Here is a 21,364-nt window from a genome sequence, read left to right as displayed (position 1 = left end):
TTTTGTCATGTCCCAGATCTAAAAGGAAATGCTTTCAGGTTTTTTTTATTTTATTCTGTATGATAGTAGCTGTAGTTCTGTCACATATGGCCTTTATTAGGTTGAGGTATGTTCCTTCTATACCCACTTTATTAAGGGTTTTTTTAAATGAAGGGATGTTGATCTTTATCAAATATTTTTTCAACATTAATTTAAATTATCATATTCTGCTGATATGATGTATCACTCTAATTGATTTGCATATGTTGAACCATATTTGCATCCCAGGCATAAATCTCACTTGGTCTTGATGAACGATTTTTTAATGTGTAGTTGAATTTGAATTTGTATAATCTTGTGAATTTTTTCATCAATATTTATCAGATATATTGGCATGTAATTTTTTTTTCTTCATGTGTCTTTGTCTGGTGTTAGAGTTACGCTAGTCTTGTAGAATTAGTTTGAAAGTATTCCCTTTTTTTCTATTTTTCAGAATAGTTTAAGTAATGTTGGTATTAGTTTTTCTTGAAATGTCTGATAGAATTGAGCATTGAAGCCATTGGTTCCTGGTCCTTCCTTTTCTAAAAGACTTTATTATGGCTTTGATTTTATTATTTGTCATTCATCTGTCTATGTTTTAATTTTTTTAATTCAATCTTTGTAGGGTGTATGTGTCTGGGAATTTGTACATTTCTTTTATATTTTCTAATTTATTGAAATATAGTTGCTCATAGTACCACTAATAGCTATTCGAATTACTCTTGTATCCCCTGCAATGTTTCCTTTTCCATCTCCGATTTTGTTTATTTTGGTCTTCTCTTTTTTCTTAGTTATTCTGGCTAAAGGTTTGTCAATTTTATCTTTTCAAAAAACCAACTGTTTGTTTCATTGATCTTTTGTATTGGTTCCTTTATTTCAATTCTATTTATTTATATACTGATTCTTTTTCTTTTCTTCTATTAATTTTAGGTTTGTTTTCTCTTTCTTTTCTAGTATTTGAGATGCATCAATAGCTTATTAATTTGAAGTTTTTCATTTTTTTATGTGGGCACTTACAGCAATACATTTCCCTCTTGTACTGCTTTTACTGTATATCTAGGATTTGATACGTTGTGTTTCAATCAGCATTTGCTTCAAGAAGTTTTCAATTATGTTTTTAATTCCGTCGTGAACCCTCTGGTCATTCAGGAGCATGTTATTTAATGTCCATGTGCCTGTATAGTTTCCAAAATTTTTCTTGTTAATGATTTCTAGTTTTCTTCCATTGTGGTCATAAAATAACTTGACATTATTTCAATTTTTGAATGTTTTATTACTTGTTTTGTGACCTAATATAGAATCTATCCTTGAAAATGTTCCATGGGCTGAGAAGGATGTGTATTCTGGAGCCACTAGATAAATTTTTCTGTACATGTCTATTAGATCTATTTGATCTATAGTGTGGATTAAATCCAATGTTTCTTTGTTGATTTTCTATTTGGGAGATCTGTTCAATGCAGAAAATGTGGTGTTGAAGTTTTCAGCTATTATTGTATTGGAGTCTATCTTTCTTTCTAGCTCTAATAAAATTTTCTTTATATATCTGGGTGCTCCACTATTAGGTGTATATATAATTAATTACAGTCATTATATTTTCTTGCTGAATTTGTCACCTTTATTATTATATAAGGACTTTCTTTGTTTTCTATTATAGTTTCTTCTTGAAATCTATTTTGTCTAATGTAAGTGTAGCTACTCCTGCTCTGTTTTGATTTTCATTGACATGGAGTATCTTTTTTCATCACTTTATATTTTATTTATGTGTATCTTTATAGGTGTAATGTATTTCTGGTAGGCGAGAGATCACCGGGTCTTGGTTTTTCATCTATTCATTCACTCTATGTCTTTTTATTGGAGAATTTCATCTATTTACATTCAACTTTTTTCTTTTCTTTTTTTTTTTTTTTTTTTTGAGACGGAGTCTTACTCTGTTGCTCAGGCTGGAGTGCAATGGTGTGATTATTGCTCACTGCAACCTCTGTCTCCTGGGTTCAGCCTCCCGAGTAGCTGGGATTACAGGCACCTGCCATCATGCCATCATGCCCGGCTAATTTTTGTATTTTTGCAGAGACGGGGTTTCACCATGTTCGCCAGGATGGTCTTGAACTCCTGACCTCAGGTGATTCGCCTGCCTCTGTCTCCCAAAGTGCTGGGATTATAGGCATGAGCCATTGCGTCCAGCATCAATGTTATTTTTGATAAGTAGGCAACTATTCCTGTAATTTTGTAGTTTGTTTTCTGGTTGTTTTGTTGTCTTCTCTTTCTGATTTTTTTCCTTATTATCTTCTTCTTAGTGAAAGTAATTTTTTCTGGTGCTTTGATTCAATTTATTGGTTTTTATTTTCGTGAGTCTGTTGCATGTTTTTAAATTTGAGGTTACCATGCTGCTAGCAAATGCTATCTTATAAATCATTATTTTAAACTGATAACAACTTAATACAGATTGCATATACAAGCAAACAAACATGCAAAAAAGGTGATAAAAAGTCGACACTTTATCTTTTTCTCTTCATGTTTTAATTTTTTGTTGTTTCTATGTCTTATTTTATTGTTTATATATTAAAACATTGTTTTAGTTATTATTTGTGATAGGTTCATCATTTAGTCTTTCTACTTAAGACAAAACTAGTTTACACAGCACCACTACAGTGCTATATTTTCCTGTGTACTTACTGTTACCACTGAGTATGGTCCCTTTTGGTGATTTCTTCTTGCTCATTAACATCCTTTTCTTTCTGTTTGAAGAATTCTCTTTAGCATTTCTTGTAGAACAGGTTAGGTGTTGATTAATGCTTGAAGGTGTTCTTAATGCTTGAAGGATATTTTCACCAGATATACTATTACGGAGTAAAATGTCTTTACATTTTCAGCACTTTAAATATGTCATAACACTCTATTCTGACTTGTAAAATTTCCACTAAAATGTCTGCTCCACTGATGTATTGAAGCTTCATTTTATGTTGCTTCTTTTATCTTGCTGCTTTTAGGATTATTTCTTCATCCTTGACCTATAAGGTTTAAATATGAAATGCCTAGAGATAGCCTTCTTTGGGTTAAATACACTTGGTTTTCTATAACCTTCTCATAGTTGAAGGTTGATATCTTTCTCCAGTTTTGGGAAGTTCCCTTATTTCTTTGAATAAACTTTATACTTCTTTCTCTCTCTCTACCTCCTAATTAAGGCCAATAACTCTAAGATTTACCCTATGGAAGCTATTTTCTACATCTTTTAGGTGCAGAAAACTGTTTTTTATTCTTTTTTTGTCTCCTCTGACTGTATTTTCAAATATTCTGACATCAAGTTCACTAACCCTTTCCTCTGTTTTATCAATTCTGCCATGAAGAGACTGATACATTCTTCATTATGTCAATTGCATTTTTAACTCTAGAATTTCTGCTTGATTCTTTTTGATTATTTTAATCTCTCTGTTAGATTTATCTGTTATAATTCAAATTATTCCTCTGTTTTATGTTGAATTTCTTTGGGTTTCAACAAAATAGCTGTTTTGAATTTTCTGGCTGAAAGGTACTATATCTCTGTTTCTCCTTGATTGGTCCCTGATGTCTTACGTAGTTCATTTGATGAGGTCATATTTTCCTGGATGGTGTTGATCCTTATAGATGTTTCTTGGTGTCTGAGAATTGAATAGTTAAGTATTTTTTTGTAGAGTTCAGTCAGAGCTTGTTTTTCTTAGAAAGATTTTTTTCATGTATTTAGAGACTTTGGCCTCAAACCCAATAATGCTCTTGTATTTTGCAGAATCATAAAAGTACCACCTTAGTACCCCTATCACCAGTGGGACTGCACTAGGTCAGACTTGAAGCCAGCACAGCACTAGATCTTGCCCATGGTCTTTCCCTTCAGAGTGATAATTTTTCTCTGGCCCTGCGTATGTTCAGAGATGTTTTCTGGGAGCCAGGGCTTGGAGTCAAAAACTTTACAAGTTTACCTGATGCTCTATTCTATGATGACTAAGGTGGCACTCACACCACAATACAAAGTTCTTCCCACTTTTCCTTTCCTTTTCCACAGCCAGATGAGAATCTCTTGGTGGCCACCATGACCACTGGTTTATGTGGTTTTTCCAGGCCTTCACTGGTGCTCACTTAAAGCTCAAGGTTTTCCATCAGCTTGTGATAAATACTGCCAGGCCTAGGACCCACCTTCAGGGCAGTGGAATGCCTTCTGACTTAGGGAAAATCCATAAACGCTGTCCAAGAGTCCAGGCCTGAGGCTGCTTGTTGTTCTACCTACCGTTGTCTATCTGGTATCTAAGGTGGAAGACGAAGTTTTCTTTATATTTTCCTCTGCTTTTCTCACATGGAAGGCATCTTTTACCATTACTATCACAGTTGGGAATGTGTAAGAACACCCCTAAAGCCAGCACATCTCAGAGCTCAAAGCCCATGAACTGTGCCTGAACGGATATCTAACATGCAAGACATAGTCATCTTTACTCTTCACTCTCCTCTCCTTAAGCAGAAGGAAGAAGTCACTTTTACTGCTGCAAGATGCACTGCCTGGGATTGTGGGAGAGGTGGCACAAGCACCTTCTTAGCTGTGCCAGCTGGTGTGACCCTAGGTCAGGTTTCACCCTAATCCACTAGCTCTAATCCCAGCCGAGGACTAGGAGTTGCCTAGGAATGACAGTCTATGTGTCCTAGACTGCCTTTCAAGTTTAATTAGGACCTCAGAGAACTTCAGCCTGCATTGGCTAAGGTTGCTGAGAAACTTAAGCTCTGACTACTAGTGTGGGCAATTTTTCTCTGATTATGTCTTGTCCAAATGTTTCCTCTGTGCACAAGTGACTGAATCCAGCATGTCTGTATTCCCCACTGTGACAAGGCACCACTGAGTTCAATGTAAGACCCCCCCCATCACCAAGTTCTCTCTCTCCAGAATGCACAGATTCTCTTTCTGTGCCACATGGCCGCTGCTGAGGGATGGAGGAGGGGTGACATTGGCAATTAAAGACTGTCTGTCCTGTCCTCCTTCATGCCTTTTTTAGCAATATGAAGTTAAAACCAGGTACTGTGATTACTCACCTAATTTTTGGTTCTTGTAATGGTGCTTTTCTTGTGGTCAGAGAGTTGTTAAGATTTAATTTTCCAGCATGGGAGACAAATGGTGTAGGCTTTTATTCCATATTTCTATACTCTCACAATTTTGCTTTAAAGAATAGATAAATGGGATATTCGTTGAAAATAAATTATAATCATTGAAAATAAATAACTAACCTGCACAATGTGCACATGTACCCTAAAACTTAAAGTATAATAATAAAAATAAATAAATAAATAAATAAATAAATAAATAAATAAATAATGGCAAAAAAAAGAGTTATTTTCAAACATGGGCTAAATAAAAACATGACTCTACACAAATAGATAAATAGAACAAAATAGTGTACATAAATTCTTTCCTTTGAGAGAAGGAAAGAAATTCCTATAGCAACAATTTTGAGTCCATGATAAGGCATGGAATCTAGTTCATACATGGAGGTATTTGCCTCATGTAGGTGTATGAACACTTAATCTCTAGAAATTTAAGAGACCATGTTTGAGTATAGGTAATGGAAAATGGGTAGATGTGGTACTGTAAGCTTGTGGAAATGAGGCACTTATTAATTCTATTTTTTGTGGAAATGGAAAGATACGAAGAAAAAGAAGAAAAACATTAGGGAAAAGTGGAAGTGAAGCTGAGATGTTGGCAGACTGAGGAGAGAGAAGAAAATGTGGAAAAAATGTCTAAGAAAGGCAGAGTAATTAGATATTAGAAATATATTATGATTTATGGCCAGATTTAGTAGACATACATAGGGTTACTTGTTATAAATTGAGGGTAAGAAAAGTTGACATATTCTGTGTTTTATTTCCAACCACATTTATTTGTGTGGATGAAGGCTGGAAGCAGCCAGAAAGTGTTGTTTTTAAATAGGGTTGTTATTTTACCAAATGTATTATGAAGTGAAAAAGAAGAAAATATCTGGATAGAACGGTGAGGATAAAGAGAGATGATTTTGATTGAAAATTTTTATCAATTATAAGCTCAAGAGGATGTGACTAATTGCATGAGTTTAGATATGAGAAGAGTAATCTGGAAAAAGAGCAAATGGGGTATTTAAAATGAAATGCAGAAAATTCTGGATGGGTTTCTTCCAATTGTGATGACAAAGTCTAGGATGTGAGTATGGAAATGAATGGCTAAAAGAGGTTGGAAGAACCAGTATTGGAGAAGAGGAGATTCAGCAGTTAAAAAGACAGTGTCATAGAAGAATCACCTATGTGAAAAAATGTCAGTTAAAAATTTGTAAAAGGAGAAATGTCGGAGGAATAATGAATCCAATTGTAAAATTTTTTTATGAGTAAGAAAGAATCAAATATTTGGCTTATAGATAACTGAAATTGGCAGGGATAAGGATGTCAAATAAGTTGCTGAATATACATTTCCAGACTCAGAGAACAAGAGTTTCCCGGTGACTGGAGATATAAATGTGTAATTTATTGTGTTTAGGTGATGATTGAAGCAGAGAATATGTGTAAACTTCTTTAGAGAGAGAGAGTATAGAATGAGAAAAGAACTGATCCTTGAGGATTCAAAATAAAATGGGTGGTACAAACAGTGTACTGTTGTGAAAGAAAAAAATAAGAAGATAAATGTGTCACGAAGTAAAAAATATAATTTTCTTAGGAAGGAGAGAATATTCAAAATTCTATAATTATTCTAAAAATACAAGTAAAAATACTGCATAGAACTTATTAAATTTAGTGACTTAGAGATTAGTGATAATATTAACAAAAGCTACTGTGTGCTAGCACAGTTACAGAAGACATTAGGGTGGAAACAGTAGTTAGTATGACTTGAGATTATTGTGTCAGTTAGTAAAAACGACAGTTAGAACATTTTAAGAGAATATAAGAGTAATAAAATTAAAAAGCAAGGTTCAATTATAATTGGTTTAAAGGTAGAGATTTGAACATACTTAACAGGTAATGGGAGAATATTCAGATGAGAGAGCCAAGCCAAAGTGAAAAGAAATAGAAGGCTAAAGGGGAAATAAGTCAAAGTACTATGTTGTTGTAAAGAGTTAGTTTAAGAAGGAGGAACAGCTACTCTATTGTATCATGAAAAACAGAGGACTAGAACATACATAAATGCAGACAAGTGCAAGTGGTGTAGAAGGGAAGCACAGATATTAGAGCAGAAAGATTGCAATAGTAGTTATGAGAGAAAAAAAGTAGCATTGCAGAACAAAGTTGAGGACCACTATCTGACATTGGTGATTACAAATTTCTAACATAACTAAATTGCCCGATTTGGAAAGGTTTTCTCAGCAACCTTAGTTGCCCAAGTGGTGGGATAAAAAAATAATAAGTGGGGGTATCATTCAAGGCTTTGGCTTAGACATATTAGTTTTTAAAAAAAATAAAAAGAGGCAAAGGAATATAAAAAAATAGAACGAGGTGAGGAGTACCAGAAAGGTTATTACTACAATAATAGACTGGAATATAAAGTAGATGAAGAGTGAAATAAATACAAAAATAATTTAGTGGAAAGGGAGAATATAAGTGACTTAACGGTGTGTACATATATCTGGGGTGAATGGAGAGTAGTGAGAGTAGTTGCACAGATGAGCTAAAGGGAAACAAAGTAGTGGATACAGAGTGATGTGTTAGAATTCATTATTTGTGAGGTTATGGGTGATGGTGAGATTAAAATGCTACTTTGAAGGAGGCAAAGCAAGATGACTAAATAGAAGTCTTCACCAATTATCCTCTCCACAGAAACACCAAATTCAATAACTATCCACACAAAAAAGCACTTTCATAAGAACAAAAACCAGGTGAATTATCACACTACCAGGATTTAGCTTCTTATTACAGAAGAGGCAATGAAGAAGGTATAAAGGACAGTCTTGAATTACCAATGCCAACACTCCCCCATTACCCAACAGGCATGAAAAGAGACATCTGGCTTAAAAAATGGCGCACCAGGAGATTATATCCCGCACATGGCTTGGAGGGTCCTACACGCACGGAGTCTCACTGGTTGCTAGCACAGCAGTCTAAGATCAAACTGCAAGGTGGCAGCAAGGCTGGGGGAGGGGCGCCCGCCATTGCCCAGGCTTGCTTAGGTAAACAAAGCAGCCAGGAAGCTTGAACTGGGTGGAGCCCACCACAGCTCAAGGAGGCCTGCCTGCCTCTGTAGGCTTCACCTCTGGGGGCAGGGCACAGACAAACAAAAAGAAAGCAGTAACCTCTGCAGAATTAAATGTCCCTGTATGACAGCTTTGAAGAGAGCAGTGGTTCTCCCAGCACGCAGCTGGAGATCTCAGAACGAGCAGACTGCCTCCTCATGTGGGTCTCTGACCCCTGACCCCTGAGCAACCTAACTGGGAGGCACCCCCAAGTAGGGGAAGACTGACACCTCACACAGCTGGGTACTCGTCTGAGACAAAACTTCCAGAGGAACCATCAGACAGCAGCATTCGCGGTTCATGAAAATCTGCTGTTCTGCAGCCACCGCTGCCGGTACCCAGGCAAACAGGGTCTGGAGTCGACCACTAGCAAACTCCAACAGACCTGCAGCTGAGGGTCCTGTCTATTAGAAGGAAAACTAACAAACACAAAGGACATCCACAACAAAAACCCATCTGTACATCAACATCATCAAAGACCAAAAGTAGATAAAACCAGAAAGATGGGGAAAAAACAGAGCAGAAAAACTGGAAACTCTAAAAAGCAGAGCACCTCTCCTCCTCCAAAGGAACGCAGCTAATCACCAGCAATGGAACAAAGGTTGATGGAGAATGACTTTGACGAGTTGAGAGAAGAAGGCTTCACACGATCAAACTACTCTGAGCTACAGGAGGAAATTCAAACGAAGGCAAAGAAGTTGAAAACTTTGAAACAAATTTAGACGAATGTATAACTAGAATAACCAATAGAGAGAAGTGCTTAAAGGAACTGATGGAGCTGAAAGCCAAGGCTCGAGAACTACGTGAAGAATGCAGAAGCCTCAGGAGCCGATGCAATCAACTGGAAGAAAGGGTATCAGTGATGGAAGATGAAATGAATGAAATGAAGTGAGAAGGGAACTTTAGAGAAAAAAAGAATAAAAAGAAACGAGCAAAGCCTCCAAGAAATATGGGACTATGTGAAAAGAACAAATCTGTGTCTGATTGGTGTACCTGAAAGTAATGGGGAGAATGGAACCAAGTTAGAAAACACTCTGCAGGATATTATCCAGGAGAACTTCCCCAATCTAGCAATGCAGGCCAACATTCAGATTCAGGAAATACAGAGAACGCCACAAAGATACTCCTCGAGAAGAGCAACTCCAAGAAACATAATTGTCAGATTCACCAAAGTTGAAATGAAGGAAAAAATGTTAAGGGCAGCCAGAGAGAAAGGTCAGGTTACCCACAAAAGGAAGACCATCAGACTAACAGCAGATCTCTCAGCAGAAACTCTACAAGCCAGAAGAGAGTGGGGGCCAATATTCAACATTCTTAAAGAAAAGAATTTTCAACCCCAAATTTCATATCCAGCCAAACTAAGCTTCATAAGTGAAGGAGAAATAAAATACTTTACAGACAAGCAAATGCTGAGAGATTTTGTCACCACCAAGCCTGCCCTAAAAGAGCTCCTGAAGGAAGCACTAAACATGGAAAAGAACAACTGGTACCAGCCACTGCAAAATCATGACAAATTGTAAAGACCATTGAGGCTAGGAAGAAACTACATCAACTAACGAGCAAAATAACCAGCTACCATCATAATGACAAGATCAAATTCACACATAACAATACTAACTTTAAATGTAAATGGACTAAATTCTCCAATTAAAAGACACAGACTGGCAAATTGGATAAAGAGTCAAGACCTATCAGTGTTCTGTATTCAGGAAATCTGTCTCATGTTCAGAGACAAACATAGACTCAAAATAAAAGGATGGAGGAAGATCTACCAAGCAAATGGAAAACAAAAACAGGCAGGGGTTGCAATCCTAGTCTCAGATAAAACAGACTTTAAACCAAAAAAGATCAAAAGAGACAAAGAAGTCCATTACATAATGGTAAAGGGATCAATTCACCAAGAAGAGCTAACTATCCTAAATATATATGCACACAATACAGGAGCACCCAGATTCATAAAGCAAGTCCTCAGTGACCTACAAAGAAACTTAGACTCCCACACAATAATAATGGGAGACTTTAACACCCCACTGTCAACATTAGACAGATCAATGAGACAGAAAGTTAACAAGGATACCCAGGAATTGAACTCAGCTCTGCACCAAGCAGACCTAATAGAAATCTACAGAACTCTCCACCACAAATCAATAGAATATACATATTTTTCAGCACCACACCACACCTATTCCAAAATTGACCACATCGTTGGAAGTAAAGCACTCCTCAGCATATATAAAAGAACAGAAATTATAACAAACTGTCCCTCAGACCACAGTGCAATCAAACTAGAACTCAGGATTAAGAAACTCACTCAAAATCACTCAACTACATGGAAACTGAACAACCTGCTCCTGAATGACTACTGGGTACATAATGAAATGAAAGTAGAAATAAAGATGTTCTTTGAAACCATCGAGAACAAAGACACAACATACCAGAATCTCTGGGACACATTCAAAGCAGTGTGTAGAGGGAAACTGATAGCACTAAATGCCCACAAGAGAAAGCAGGAAAGATCCAAAATTGACAACCTAACATCACAATTAAAAGAACTAGAAAAGCAAGAGCAAACACATTCAAAAGCTATCAGAAGGCAAGAAATAACTAAAATCAGAACAGAACTGAAGGAAATAGAAACACAAAAAACCCTTCAAAAAATTAATGAATCCAGGAGCTGTTTTTTTGAAAGGATCAACAAAATTGATAGACCGCTAGCAAGACTAATAAAGAAGAGAGAAGAATCAAACAGATGCAATAAAAAATGTTAAAGGGGATATCACCACCAATCCCACAGAAATACAAACTACCATCAGAGAATACTACAAACACCTCTACACAAATAAACTAGAAAATCTAGAAGAAATGGATAAATTCCTCGCCACATACACCCTCCCAAGACTAAACCAGGAAGAAGTTGACTTTCTGAATAGATCAATAACAGGATCTGAAATTGTGGCAATAATCAATAGCTTACCAACCAAACAGAGTCCAGGACCAGATGGATTCAAAGATGAATTCTACCAGAGGTACAAGGAGGAACTGGAACCATTCCTTCTGAAACTATTCCAATCAATAGAAAAAGAGGGTATCCTCCCTAACTCCTTTTATGAGGCCAGCATCATCCTGATACCAAAGCTGGGCAGAGACACAACCAAAAAAGAGAATTTTAGGCCAATACCCTTGATGAACATTGATGCAAAAATCTTCAATAAAATACTGGCAAACCGAACCCAGCAGCACATCAAAAAGCTTATCCACCATGATCAAGTGGGCTTCATCCATAGCATGCAAGTCTGGTTCAATATACGCAAATCAATAAATGTAATCCAGTACATACACAGAACCAAAGACAAAAACCACATGATTATCTCAATAGATGCAGAAAAGGTCTTTGACAAAATTCAACAGCACTTCATGCTAAAAACTCTCAATAAATTAGGTATTGATGGGACGTATCTCAAAATAATAAGAGCTATCTATGACAAACCCACAGCCAATATCATACTGAATAGGCAAAAACTGGAAGCATTCCCTTTGAAAACTGCCACAAGACAGGGATGCCCTCTCTCACCACTCCTATTCAACATAGTGTTGGAAGTTCCAGCCAGGGCAATTAGGCAGGAGAAGGAAATAAAATGTATTTAATTAGGAAAAGAGGAAGTCAAATTGTCCCTGTTTGCAGATGACATGATTGTATATCTAGAAAACCCCATTGTCTCAGCCCAAAATCTCCTGAACCTGATAAGCAACTTCAGCAAAGTCTCAGGATACAAAATCAATGTACAAAAATCACAAGCATTCTTATACACCAATAGCAGACAAACAGAGAGCCAAATCATGAGGGAACTCCCATTCACAATTGCTTCAAAGAGTATAAAATACCTAGGAATCCAACTTACAAGGGACATGAAGGACCTCTTCAAGGAGAACTACAAACCACTGTTCAATGAAATAAAAGAGGATACAAACAAATGGAAAAACATTCCATGCTCATGGGTAGGAAGAATCAATATCGTGAAAATGGCCATACTGCCCAAGGTAATTGATAGATTCAATGCCATCCCCATGAAGCTACCAATGACTTTCTTCACAGAATTGGAAAAAACTACCTTAAAGTTCATATGGAACCAAAAAAGAGCCCGCATTGCCAAGTCAATCCTAAGCCAAAAGAACAAAGTTGGAGGCATCACGCTACCTGACTTCAAACTATACTACAAGGCTACAGTAACCAAAACAGCATGGTACTGGTACCAAAACAGAGATATAGATCAATGGAACAGAACAGAGCCCTCAGAAATAATGCCACATTATCTACAACTATCTGATCTTTGACAAACCTGAGAAAAACAGGCAATGGGGAGAGGATTCCCTATTTAATAAATGGTGCTGGGAAACCTGGCTAGCCATATGGAGAAAGCTGAAACTGGATCCCTTCCTTACACTTTATGCAAAAATTAACTGAAGATGGATTAAAGACTTAAACGTTAGACGTAAAACCATAAAAATCCTAGAAGAAAACCTAGGCATTACCATTCAGGACATAGGCATGGGCAAGGACTTCATGTCTAAAACACCAAAAGCAATGACATCAAAAGACAAAATTGACAAATGGGATCTAATTCAACTAAGGAGCTTCTACACAGCAAAAGAAACTACCATCAGAGTGAACAGGCAGCCTACAAAATGGGAGAAAATTTTCGCAACCTACTCATCTGACAAAGGGCTAATATCCAGAATCTACAATGAACTCAAACAAATTTACAAGGAAAAAACAAACAACCCCATCAAAAAGTGGGTAAAGGGCATGAACAGACACTTCTCAAAAGAAAATATTTATGCAGCCAAAAAACACATGAAAAAATGCTCACCATCACTGGCCATCAGAGAAATGCAAATCAAAACCACAATGAGATACCATCTCACACCAGTTAGAATGGCGATCATTAAAAAGTCAGGAAACAACAGGTGCTGGACAGGATGTGGAGAAATAGGAACACTTTTACACTGTTGGTGGGACTGTAAACTAGTTCAACCCTTGTGGAAGTCAGTGTGGTGATTCCTCAGGGATCTAGAACTAGAAACACCATTTGACCCAGCCATCCCATTACTGGGTATATACCCAAAGGACTATAAATCATGCTTCTATAAAGACACATGCACACGTATGTTTATTGCGGCACTATTCACAGTAGCAAAGACTTGGAATCAACCCAGATGTCCAACAATGATAGACTGGATTAAGAAAATGTGGCACATATACACCACGGAATACTATGCAGCCATAAAAAATGATGAGTTCATGTCCTTTGTAGGGACATGGATGAAATTGGAAATCATCATTCTTAGTAAATTATCACAAGAACAGAAAACCAAACACCGCATATTCTCACTCATAGATGGAAATTGAACAATGAGAACACATGGACACAGGAAGGGGAACATCACACTCTGGGGACTGTTGTGGGGTGAGGGGAAGCTGGAGAGATAGCTTTAGGAGATATACATAATGCTAAATGACGAGTTAATGGGTGCAGCACACCAGCATGACACATGTATACATATATAACTAATCTGCACATTGTGCACCTGTACCCTAAAGCTTAAAGTATAATAATAATAATAAAATAAAATAAAATAAAATAAAGAAAAATCCATTTTCTGAGAAGAAATTCAAACCAGCTGCAGAAATTTCCATAAGTAATGAGAAACTGAATATTAATTCCCAAGACAATAGGGAAAATGTCTCCAGGGCATTTCAGGGGTCTTCACAGCAGCCCCTCTAATAACAGACCCAGGGACCTAGGAGGAAATGGTTTTGTGAGTCAGACCCAGGGTCCCCATGCTGTATGTATCCTAGGGACTCGGTGCCCTGAGTCCCAGCCACTCCAGCTGTGGCTGATAGGGGCCAACATAGAGCTTGAGCCATGCCTTCAGAGGGTGAAAGCCCCAAACCTAGGCAGCTTCCACGACGTGTTGAGCCTGCAAGTGCACAGAATTCAAGAATTGGGGTTAGGTAGCCTCCACCTAGATTTTAGAAGATGAATGGAAATGCTTGGATGTCCAGGGAGAAGTTTGCTGCAGGGGCAGGGCACTCATGAAGAACCTCTGTTAGGGCAATGCAGAAAGAAAATGTGGGGTTGGAGCCCCTACACAGAGTCCCTACAGAGGCACCACCTAGTGGAGCTGTGAAAAGAGGGCCACCATTTTCCAGAACCCAGAATGGTAGATCCACTGACAGCTTGCACTGTTTGCCTGGAAAAGTCACAGATACTCAATGCCAGCCCATGAAAGCAGCTTGGAAGGAGGTTGTACCCTGCAAAGCCACAGAGGTGCAGCTGCCTAAGATGATGGGAACCCAACTCTTGCATTAGTGTGACCTGAATATGAGACCTGGAGTCAAAAAAGATCATTTTGGGGCTTTAAAATTTGACTGCCTTTCTGAATTTCAAACTTGCATGGTCCTTGTAACTCCTTTGTTTTGGCCAATTTATCCCATTTGGAATGGCTGTATTTACCCAATATCTGTACCCCCTTGTATCTAGGAAGTAACTAGCTTGCTTTTGATTTTATAGGCTCATAAGTGAGAGGGACTTGCTTTGTGTCAGATGAAAGTTTGCCCTGTGGACTTTTGGGTTAATGCTGAATAAGAATTTGTGGGACTGTTGCAAAGGCATGATTGGTTTTGAAATGTGAGGATATGAGATTTGGATGGGATGAATGATATGGTTTGGCTCCTTGTCGCCACCCAAATCTCATCTTGAATTGTACTCCTATAATTCCCATGTGTTGTTGGAGGGACCTGGTGTGAGATAATTTGTCATGTGGGTGGTTTCCACCATATTGTTCTTATAGTAGTGAATAAGTCTCATGAGATCCGATGGTTTTATCAGGGGTTTCCACTTTTGCATCTCCCTCATTTTCTCTTGCTCCCACCATGTAAGAAATCCCTTGCACCTCCTGCCATGATTCTGAGGCCCCCCCGGTCATGTGGAACTGGAAGTCCAATGAAACCTCTTTTTCTACCCAGTCTTGAGTATATCTTTATTAGCAGCATGAAAACGGACTAATACAGATGGGTACAAATAAGGCCAGAGAGTAAAGATAACAATAAATACCTCACCCTTCAATGCCCAGATGCTGAAGTACATTTTCTAGCATCAACACTATTCAGGAAAACATGACCTTATCAATAAACTAAATAAGGCACCAGGGACCAATCCTCGAGAAACAGAGATTTGTTACATTATAGACAGATAATTCAAAATAGTTGTGTTGAGAAAACTCAAAAAAAATTGGAAAAAAACAGAACAAATTCAGAATTTTATCAGATAAATTCAACAAGAAGATTGAAATAATACAAAGTCAATGGAGAATAAAAAAATAAAGCACACGTTCAGGATATATAAAATAGACTCAAAAAGGCAAATCTAAGACTTATTGGCCTTAAAAAGGAGGTAGAGAAAAAGGTAGGGGTAAAAAGTGTATTCTAAAAGACAATAACAGATAACTTCCCAAACTTAGAGAGAGATATCAACATTCATTGACAAGAGGTTTATAGAACAAGCAGGGGATTTAACCCAAAGACTACCTCAAGGCATTTAATAATCAAACTGCCAAAGGTCAAGGATAAAGAAAGGATCCTACAAGTAGAAAGAGAAAAGAAACAAATAACATAAGGGAGCTTCAATACATCTGGCAGCAGACTTTTCAGTGAAAACTTTGCAGTCCAGAAGAGAGTGGCATGAAAAATTGGAAATGCTAAAGAAAAAGTCTTTTTACTCTAGAATATTATATCTGGTGAAAACATCTTTCAAAACTAAAGGAAAAAAATATGCATCTTCCAGACAAACAAAAGCTGAGGGATTTCATCCACACCACTTCTATCCTGCAAGAAATGCTAAAGGGAGTACTTCAATCAGGAAAAAATAAATAAATGAGCAATACATAATCACCTGGTGAAACAAAACTCACTGGTAATAGTAAGTACACAGAGCACACAGAATACTATAATACTGTAACTGTGGTTTGTAAACTAACTTTATTCTAAGTAGAAAGAGTAAATGATTAACCAATCAAAAATAATAACTGCAAAAACTTTTCAAAAAATTAGCACATATACAATATATTATAAATATAATGTATATGCAATATAATAAAATATATTTTACAATATAATAATATAATATACATCACAATACAATAGAAATAGAAATAAAAAGCTAAATAGTGGGGGGTGAAGCTAAGGCACAGAGTTTTTATTCATTTTCTTTTGGCTTGCTTTTTCATTTATGCAATGTTAAGTTGTTTTCAGTTTAAAATAATGGCTTATATGATAGTGCTTGCAAGCCTCATGGTAAACCTAAACCAAATAAAATACAATAAATACAGAAAAAATAAAAGGCAAGAAAGTAAATCATATACCAGAGAAAATCATCTTTACTAAAAAAGGACAGGAAGGAAAGAAAGAAGGAAGAGAAGGCCACAAAACAACCAGAAATAAAACAATAAAATGGCAGGAGTAAGTCATTACTTATCAATAATAACATTGAATGTCAATAGACTAAACTCTCTAATCAAAAGACATAGACTGGCTGAATGGATGCAGAAACAACTCATAGATCTGTTGCTACAAGAAACAAACTTAACCTATATAAACTCACGTAGATTGAAATAAACGCATAGAAAAAAATATTCCACGACAATGGAAACTAAAATAGAATGGAAGTCAATATACTTACATCAGACAAAAGAGATTTAAAGACAAAAACTGAAAAAAGAGAGAATGAAGAACACTACAATATAATGATAAAGGGGTCTACTCAGCAAGATGATATAACACATTTAAATATACGTGCACCCAACACTGGAGCACCCAGATATGTGGAGGAAATATTATTTGAGCTAAAGAGAGAGATAGGTCCCAATACAATAATATCTGAAGACTTCAACATCACACTATCAACACTGAGCAGATCTTTCAGATAGAAAATCATCATAGAAATGTCAGACTTAATGTACATTATAGAATAAATAGATTTAATAGATATTTCCAGGCCATTTTATTGAATGGCTGCAGAATACACATTCTTTTACTCAGCACATGAAATATTCTCAACGATAGGCCATATGTTAGGTCACAAAACAAGTTCAAAAATTTTACATAATATCAAGCTTCTTTGATGACCACAGTGGCATAAAACTAGAAATCAACGACAATAATTTTAGAAACTATAGAAATACATAAAAATTAAACAATATACTCCTAAATGACCACTATGTCAGTGAAGAAATTAAGAAAAAAATTGAAAAAAATTTTGAAACAAATAATAATAAAAACACAAAATACTAAAACTTATGGAATACAGCAAAAGCAGTACTAAGAAGAAAGCTTATAGCAGTAAGTGCCGAAATTTTTTAAAAAACTTTAAATAAATAACATAATGATGCATCTCAACGAACTATAAATGAAAAAGCAAACCAACTCCAGAATAGAAAAAGAGAAACAAATAAAATCACAGCAGAATAAATAAAATTCAGATAAAACACCAATACAATGTATCAATAAAACAAAAAGTTGGTTTTTCAAAATTGAAACAAATTAAATTAGTTTAAAGATTGTGGAAGACAGTGTGGTGATTCCTCAATGATCTAGAACTAAAAATATCATTTGACCCAGCAATCCCATTACTAGGTATATACCCAAAGGAATATAAATCATTCTATTATAAAGAACACATGCATACATATGTTTATTGACACACTGTTCACAATAGAAAATTCTTGAAACCAACACAAATGCCCATCAATGATAGACTGGATAAAGAAAATGTGGCACATATACACCATGGAATACTATGCAGGCATAAAAACGGATGAGTTCATGTCCTTTGCAGGGACTTGGATGAAGCTGGAAACCATCATTCTCAGAAAACTAAAACAAGAACAGAAAACCAAACACCACACGTTCTCACTCATAAGTGAGAGTTGAACAATGAGAACACATGAACACAGGGAGGGGAACATCACACGTTGGGGCCTGTTGGAGGGTGGGGGGCTAGGGGAGGTACAGCATTAGGGGAAATACCTAATGTAGATGACAGGTTAATGGGTGCAGCAAATCTCTATGGTACATGTATACCTATGTAACAAACCTGAACGTTATGTACATGTACCCCACAACTTAAAGTATAATAATAAAAAATAATAATATATATATTGTTTCATTTAATTGCACAAAATTTTGATTTAAACAGTGAAACAAAATTGACAAACTTTTAGCTAGACTAAGAAAAAAGAGAGGAGATACAAATAAATAAAATCATAAATAAAAAAGTCATTACAACTGACACTGCAGAAATTTAAAGGACTATAAGTGGCTACTATGAGCAGCTATATGCCAATAAATGAGAAAGCCTAGAAATATGGACAAATTCCTAGTCACGTACCACCTACCAATATTGAACCACAAAGAAATTTAAAACCTGAACAAATCAATAACAAGTAATGAGATAGAAGCCATAATAAAATTCTCTTATTAAAGGAAAGCCTGAGACCTGATGGCTTCACTGTGGAATTTTACCAAACATTCAATGATGAACTAATATCAGTTTTTCTGAAATTATTCTAAAAAATACAGGAAAAGAAAATACTTTGAAAATCATTCTATGAAGCCAATAGTCCTGATACCAACACCAGACAAAGACACATCAAAAAGTTAAAAAGTACAAGCCAATATTACCGATAAATATTTATGCAAAAATCCTCAACAGCATACTAGCAAACAAAATTCAACAATACATTAGAAAGATCACTCAGGATTGCTGGCAAGATGGCCAAATAGGAACAGGTCCAGTCTGCAGCTGCCAGTGAGATCAACAAAGAAGGTGAGTGATTTCTGCATTTCCAACTAAGGTACCCTGTTCATTTCACTGGGACTGGTTGGACAACGGGTGCAGCCCACAGAGGGTGACCCAAAGCAGGGTGGGGTGTCACCTTACCCAGGAAGCACAACGAGTCCGGGAATTTTCTTCCCCGCCCAAGGGAAACTGTGAGGGACTGAACCTGAGGAACCATGCACTCCAGCCCAGATACAGCTCTTTTCTCGTGGTCTTCACAATGCACAGACTAGGAGATTCCTTCAGGTGCCTACCTCACCAGGGCCCTGGGTTTTAAGCAAAAAACTGGGTGGCCATTTGGGCAGACAGCGAATTACTTGTAGGAGTTTTTCTATTTTCATACCCCAGTGGCACCTGCAATGCCAGGGAGACAGAACCATTCACTCTCCTGTACAGGGGGTTGAAGCCAGGGAGCAAAATGTTTTGGCTCAGTGAGTCCCACCTGCACAGAGCCCAGCAAACTAAGATCCACTGGCTTGAAATTCTTGCTGTCAGCACGGCAGCAATCTGAGATTGACCTGGGATGCTTGAACTTGGTTGGTGGGAGGGTCATCCCCCATTGCTGAGGCTTGAGTAGGCGGTTTTACCCTCACAATGTAAACAAAACTGGTGGGAATCTCAAACTGGATGGAGCCCACTGCAGCTCAGCAAGGCCAATGCAGCCAGACTGCCAGAATTCTCCTTTCTGGGCAGTGCATCTCTGAAAAAAAGGCAGCAGCCCCAGTCAGGGACTTATAGATATAACCCCCATCTCCCTGGGACAGAGCACCTGGGGAAAGAGGCAGCTGTGGGCGCAGCTTCAGCAAACTTAAAAGTCCCTGCCTGACAGCTCTGAAGAGAACAGCGGACCTCACAGCACAGAGCTCAAGTTCTGCTTAGGGTCACACTGCCTCCTCAGGTGGGTCCCTGACCCTCATGTATTCTGACTGAGAGACACCTCTCAGTACAGGACAACGGACACCTCATACAGGAGAGCTCCAGCTGGCATATGCCAGGTGCCCCTCTGGGAAAAATCTTCCAGATGAAACAACAGGAAACAATATTTCCTGTTCTGCAGTCTCCGCTTCTGATACCCAGGCAAAGAGTGTCTGGAGTGTACCTCTAGCAAACTGCAGCATACTTGCAACAGAGAGGCCTGACTGTTAGAAGGAAAACTAACAAACAGAAAGGAATAGCATGTTCACTCAGAGAACTCATCTGAAGGTCACCAACATCAAATACCAAAGGTAGATAAATCCATAAAGCTGGAGAGAAACCAGCGCAAACCTTTGAAACCTTTGAAAAAAGGTTAGACGAATTGCTAACTAAAATAAGCAGTTTAAAGAACATAAATGACCAGATGGAGCTGAAAAACACAGCACAAGAACTTCATGAAGCATACACAAGCATCCATAGCCAAATTGATCAAGCAGAAGAAAGGATATCACAGATTGAAGATCAACTTAATGAAATAAAGCGAGATGACAAGATTAGAGGAAAAAGAATAAAAAGGAATGAACAAAGCCTCTAAGAAAGATGGAACTATGTGAAAAGACCAAATCTACATTTGATTTGTGTACCTGAAAGTGATGGGGAGAATAGAACCAAGTTAGAAAACACTCTTTAGGATATTATCCAAGAGACCTTCCCCAACATAGTAAGACAGGCCAACTTTAAAATATAGGAAATACAGAGAACACCACAAAGATACTCTTCAAGAAAAGCGACCCTAAGACACACAATCTTCAGATTCACCAAAATTGAAATGAAGGAAAAAATGTCAACTGCAGACAGAGAGAAAGGTTGGGTTACCCACAGAGCTAAGACCATCAGACTAATAGCATATCTCCTGACAGAAACCCTACAAGCCAGAAGAGACAGGGAGCCAATATTCAACATTCTTAAAGAAAAGAAATTTTAATCCGGAATTTCATATCCAGCCAAATTAAAGCTTCATGAGCGATGGAGAAATAAGATCCTTTACAGACAAGCAAATCCTGAGAAATTCTGTCACCACCAGGCCTGCATTACAAGAGGTCCTGAAGGAAGCACTAAATATGGAAAGGAACAACGAGTACCAGCCACTGCAAAAACATACCAAATTGTAAAGAACATTGACACTATGAAGAAACTGCATCAACTAATGGCAAAATAACTAGCTAGCATCTTAATGACATGATAAAATTCACATATAACAATATTAACCTTAAATGTAAATGGGCTAAATGCCCCAAATAAAAGACTCAGACTGGTTAACTGGATAAAGAGTCAAGG

The sequence above is a fragment of the Homo sapiens genome, chromosome X, assembly GCF_000001405.40.
Source record: "Homo sapiens chromosome X, GRCh38.p14 Primary Assembly".
NCBI lineage: Eukaryota > Metazoa > Chordata > Mammalia > Primates > Hominidae > Homo > Homo sapiens.
This window is presented reverse-complemented; position numbering follows the sequence as displayed.